General features: G+C 43.0%; 1 annotated feature.

The window, feature by feature from the left end:
- Positions 605-1804: an enhancer, noted in NCBI's record as "P300/CBP strongly-dependent group 1 enhancer chr11:79326940-79328139 (GRCh37/hg19 assembly coordinates)". NCBI's record gives its function as "activates an origin of replication core promoter dependent on BRD2, BRD4, P300/CBP, MED14 and CDK7 cofactors, with strong dependence on P300/CBP, by STARR-seq in HCT116 cells {active_cell/tissue: HCT116}" and the evidence as "EXISTENCE:reporter gene assay evidence [ECO:0000049][PMID:35650434]".

Below are 5608 nucleotides of genomic sequence, written 5' to 3'. Positions count from 1 at the left end.
TGATTCATTCCACTTGGGAAGATCTGAGGTCTCCTGGAACAGTAGGCATTTGAGTTAAGCCTTAGCTGATTGGAGAAACTGTGTGAGCAAAAGGAAAAAAAATTCCTGAAAGGAGGAAGTGGGATGAGGTATGGCTGGAGATGTCAGGGACCGGTGGTTGAGTGATAAAGGATGTTACAAAGACAGATTAGGGCCACCCCACAGAGGACAGCCTCAAGACCCATCTCAGGACATTGCCTCTTTTCTATGCCAGGGGAGTTATGGAAGGGTTTTGGGCAGAGGGGCAATGTGGTGAGACCCATGTTTAGGAATACTGTGGGCAGCCTGTCCTAAAAGTCTGTCCTACAATTTGTCAGCCAAGCCAGGGCTGCTGCAGAGAGTCCTTCCTGCATCTGCATGAGGAAGGCCAGGTCTGCCAGGTTTTAGCACCTGTGGCAGCCTTCGAGGTGGCTCTACACTCCAGACCTTTAAGATTTCCTGAGCTTTTAGCCATTGAATTGAACAGATACACACACATGGATTAAGACAACACAGGAAGCAGAAAACTTGATCATCCTCCTCTCTAAGGCTGGCAATGAAAGATCTGACAATAGCTGTTGGGACACTTTCCCTGCTGGCCGCACATGTACTGCAGGACTGAAATTCCAGAAGCTGTCATTCCATTTGGTAACAATTTTGGCCTGTCACCCCAACTAACTCCTAGCCCAGTGCTCAACCCAAAACAAGCAAGCAATAAATTGAGAACCCTTTCTCTTCCCCTCCTCCAGGACAGGAAGCAAGGCATACCTGACTTTGTTTCTCCAGTGCTTAGTATTGCATAAGGGCTTAATAAGTATTTGGTGAAGGAATACATGGGTAAAGGTTGGCCTTGTACTTGTGACCTTTGAACGAATTATTCAAAGCCTCTTGACTCACTTTTCTCCTCCCTTTCTTCTCAAGATACATCTTTCCTTTTCAGAACATATGACCCAACTTCAATAACTAGTCTGTGACTCATGATTCTGAAGATAAATAGAATACTGTATGCAGGTTGTTCTGAGTGGTATAGCTGCAAGGTATGGTGGAAGTACAGAGTTTAAAAAGAAACCACAGAGGTGTCTTTCCATGGAGATCTATGTTTTCTCACATTTAATTAATACAGAAGTCAAAGTGCTCTGGAAACACTCATCATCACTGCATAAAGTGGCCTGGGAACTTCCGCTGGAGCTGATAACCTAGAGAAAATGAGTCACAAAGGTCTGAATTAAGAGCTAGAAGGAACATTAGAGAGTGTCATCATGACAGTGCCTTGCAGAGCACGTAAAATGTTGCAAACCACTTATTCACATACCTGCAGTGTACACATTTTACCCCATTATGTTCCAAAGTTAAATATTTAAGGTGGAATATATATACATACTGACATTTACTACAGAATTATATGAGACACGTGGTAAATCATTTGTATGTAGCATCTCAATCCTCACAATAACTGTATAATTATTTAGCACTTATTATACAAGTAATTTTACTTGTGGACTTGCCATGCCCAAACAGAGACTTAGAGTCATGATAGCCCAGTGGCAAAGTGTGTGGGCTCTGGAGTGAGAAGAGCTGGACGTGCATCCCTGCTCTGCCACGGCCTAGTTCTTTGAGCTTGTGCAGTTACCCAAGCCTCCCGGAGCCCCATTCCCTTGTATATAAAATAAATAAAATCATATCACCCTCCTCATCACATTAGGAAGGATCACTGAGATAATCCAAAGAAATGTTTAGGATAGTGTCTGGTATGTGAAACATGCAAGAGGAATATTAACTATTATTGTTAAGTAACTTACCCAAGAACACATGGCTAGTAATGAGTGGGAATTGAACCCCAGCCTGCCTGAATGCAAAGCCGTGATGCTCCGTGCTTGATTACTCCCTCTTTTCTCTCTCTAGAGCTTTGTGTTACCTTCATTCTATCAGGTGAGAAACTTGAGATGCCAGGAGGTTTAAGAACTTGCTCAGGGCCACAAGGTTGCTTTGACAGGGACCACAGGAGAACCTAGGTCTTTTGATCCCAACTAGAATTTCTTGCTCTTCATGACGTCACCCTGCCTCCCTAATCTGTGGGCAACTCTGCTGTACATTCAGGAAAAACAGCGTCCAGAAAGGCTAAGCAACTTCTCTGGTGATGTCCAATTATTAAGTGGCAAAGCTGGCACTGGCACCTAGGTCTCAGCTCTCCTCATTGTCTCTCAAATATTCTTTCCTATGCAGTCCACTTCATCACGTCTCAGAGATCCTGAGTGGAGAAAAGTGAACAGAGATAGAGACAGGCAAAGAAACAAACACAGAAATAGAGACAAGCAGAGGAGTAAAGACAGAAAGAAAAAATATAGAGAAAGAGGTCTGTAAGCTAAGAACATCTTTTAATCTCTTTTCTTCCGGGAGGTCCTTAAAATGATGAAAATTTGGTAACTTTTAGGAAGAGGAGAATGAAAAATAATATGATACCAACTGCTTGTGCAGTTCTTTAGCAAGTCTGGATAAATTTGAAGAAGTAGTGAAATCACTGAACACTGAGAGGGAAATTGTGGCTCTGTCACTCTGAAAATTGTTCAAACACTTACCCTCTATACCTCATAGAGAAAGCCGATGCTGTGGTGAGCATTATTCAGGTGCCCTTGTGCAATTGAAGATGTGAGAATCAACTAATTAAACACTCAGAACTGTGAAGACAAGCATTTTGCAAATGCAGGCTCCCATTACTTCTCGGAGTTACCATGATCTCACCTGGACCTGCTGAACATCAAAGGTGTCCTAAACAGGAGAGGCAAAGATTTCTAAGCTTTTGCCTGCCTTGATGCAGAGCTTACCAAAATGGTGAGGAGAAGCAAGGATCTGGGTAAGCCAGGACATCAAACTACCTCATTGGAAAATAAAACTTGGGGGCTTGAGTTATATCTCACCGGAATTTTCCTGTTGATCTGACACTCATGATTTATCTTTAATTGGTACTTACAAAATGCTCCATTAAGCAGCACTACTCACTGTTTTTCACATACAAGTGCACGTCCTCACCCCTTTGTCTATGCTTATATTTATTTCTTGGCCTGACATGCCCTTTCTGCTCAGACCCACCCCAGTCCCGAATCCTTCTATCAGGGCTCAGTTAAGATACCCCTTCTGCACAAGGAGACACTGTCCCACTAGCTGGATTCAGTCTCTCCCTTCTCTGATGTGCATACCATCTTCAAGTTTCTTGTGGCTCTTGTAACTTTGTTTTTCATGGAACTTTACAAAGAACACAAAAACAGTGATAGTCCATGCCAAGGAAATAAAAGATGTGGTTTATTTTACATGTAATTCAATGAATGTGGACTTACTATGCCCAGAGGCCCCTCCTGGCTAACAGTCCTGCCAGGGACTGACCCAGTTCAGGGAACAAAGTCAGCTATTTTTTACAAGAGGTAGCCACTGGCTGGATCAGAGCAAGTATCTAACCCAAGAACGGCTTGCTCATTGTCCAGCTAGAGAGTTATTCATTCATTCAATAAATATTATTTGAGTGGTTATTGTATGTCCATCATGTAGTAATGTGTCTTTTTCTAGACACTGGAAATACAGCTGCAAACAGAACAGGATCTCTTCCCTCTTGGAGTTTACAGTCTTCAGTAGACTGCAATAAACAAAAATAATAATACATTTATAATACATTAATTCTAAGTACTTTGGAAAAAGAGAAAGCAGAGTAAGGGATTTAAAGGCTCATGGGAGGGAAGAAGGATACCATTATATCTAAATGGCCAGAGAAAGCCTCTCTCATAAAGCAACATTTGAGCAGAAACCTAAAGGAGATGAAGAAGTGAGCATGATAATTTTGTGTGTCAACTTGACTGGGGTATGGGGTACCCAGATATTTGGTCAAACATTATTCTGGATATTTCTATGAGAGTGTTTTTTGATGAGTTAACATTTGAGTCAGTAGACTGAGTAAAGCAGATTGCCCTCTCTAATGTAGGTGAGCCACATCCAATCAGTTGAAGGCCTGAATGGAACACAAGGGCTGAGCCTCCCCCAGTAACAGAAACTTCCTCCTGCCTGACTGCCTTTGAGGTGGGGAATCAGTTTTTCTTGCCTGCAGAGCTGAACTGAAACATCAGCTCTTCTGCATCTCCAGTTTGCTGACCACATATTGGGACTTGTCAGTCTTCATAATTGCATGAGCCAATTACTTACCAAACATCTCCTTCTCTCTATTCATGCATCCTGTTGGTTTTGTTTCTCTGGAGAACCTGACTAATGTTGTGATCCATGTGGGTAATTAGAGGAGCGATTCAGGCAGTGGAGATAGTAAGAGCAAATATCAAGAGGCAGGTGTGGGCTGTTGTGGGTGGGGAATTGCTGGGTGGAGTGCATGGGAGGTGTGGAAAGCAACAAAGGACAAGGCCGGAGAGTCACAGGAACCCAATGGCGGAGGTCCACGAAGGCCGTAAGGAAGACTGAGTTCCACTCTGCATAAGATGAGGATTCCCTGAAGGGTTTTGAGCAGAGGAACAACATGATCTGACATATGTTTAAAGGTCTCTGGCAGAGGTGAAAGCAAGGGGATTGGCTAAGAGGCTGTTAGAATGACCTGAGAGAGAGATGATGGTGCTTGAAGCAGAATGGAGGTGGTGGAGTTGGTGAACAGTTGTTGATTTCTAGATGTAGTTTGAAGCCAAGAGTATCTGAAAGTGGATTGGATATGGTGTGGGATCAGGGAAATCTCTCCAAGTGATTTAGCCTGAGCATCTGGAGGAATGGAAGTGCCATTTGCTGAGGTGGGTTGAAGGAAGCATAGGTGTGGGGGTGAGGGTCAGGATCTAGTCTGAGCTGCCACTGGACTTTAAGAACAGGCTGTTGGATATGTGAGGATGGAGGTGCGGGAGGAGGCCCTGGCTGGAGGTGTAAATTTGGGAGTCATCAGTATATATGATGTTTAAATCATAAAACTGGATGAGATCATCAAAAGGGAGTGAGAGAAAGAATGGGAGAGGGCCAAGGACTGAGCCCCGAGGCCCTTCCAACAGGGAGATCAGCGTTCTTCCATGCAAGGGTTTCAACTCATTAGTGGATTATGAAATCACTTTGGTGGATAATGAGCAGTACTTCTAATTGGATAGAAAAGAATGGAAAATATCAGAGTAATTTGAATGTAACATTGTTTCATAAAACGTTTTTCAGTTATATATGTTTCTAAAATGTGTTTATATATATGTGGGTGTGTGTGATTGTATATCTGTGTGTTTGTGTCTGCTATGTGTGTGAATTTACAGCTTTACCTTATGACATGTATGTATACATGCAACTGGTTATAATACATGCTTTTTTACGACGAAAAAAAATAATTTTTTTCAAATGTAGACATCACCATTTTCAAGGGCCAGTGAGGTATCCTAGCAGCTGAGCTCTGCCTTCCTGGGGAAGTGAAGATGAGCAAACCATTCTCACTTGCCCCTTTGGGTATGGACTAGGGAAGTAGGGAGAGCTGGCCAGTCAGCACAAGGGAAGACTGAAGCAGGCAAGCTGAGAGCATGGAAGTCTCCACAAAAGAGAAACAAAAAGTCAGAATGCCTACTCCCTGCAGCCACCTTTATTTCTG

The sequence above is a fragment of the Homo sapiens genome, chromosome 11 (genome assembly GCF_000001405.40).
Source record: "Homo sapiens chromosome 11, GRCh38.p14 Primary Assembly".
NCBI lineage: Eukaryota > Metazoa > Chordata > Mammalia > Primates > Hominidae > Homo > Homo sapiens.
This window is presented reverse-complemented; position numbering and strand designations above follow the sequence as displayed.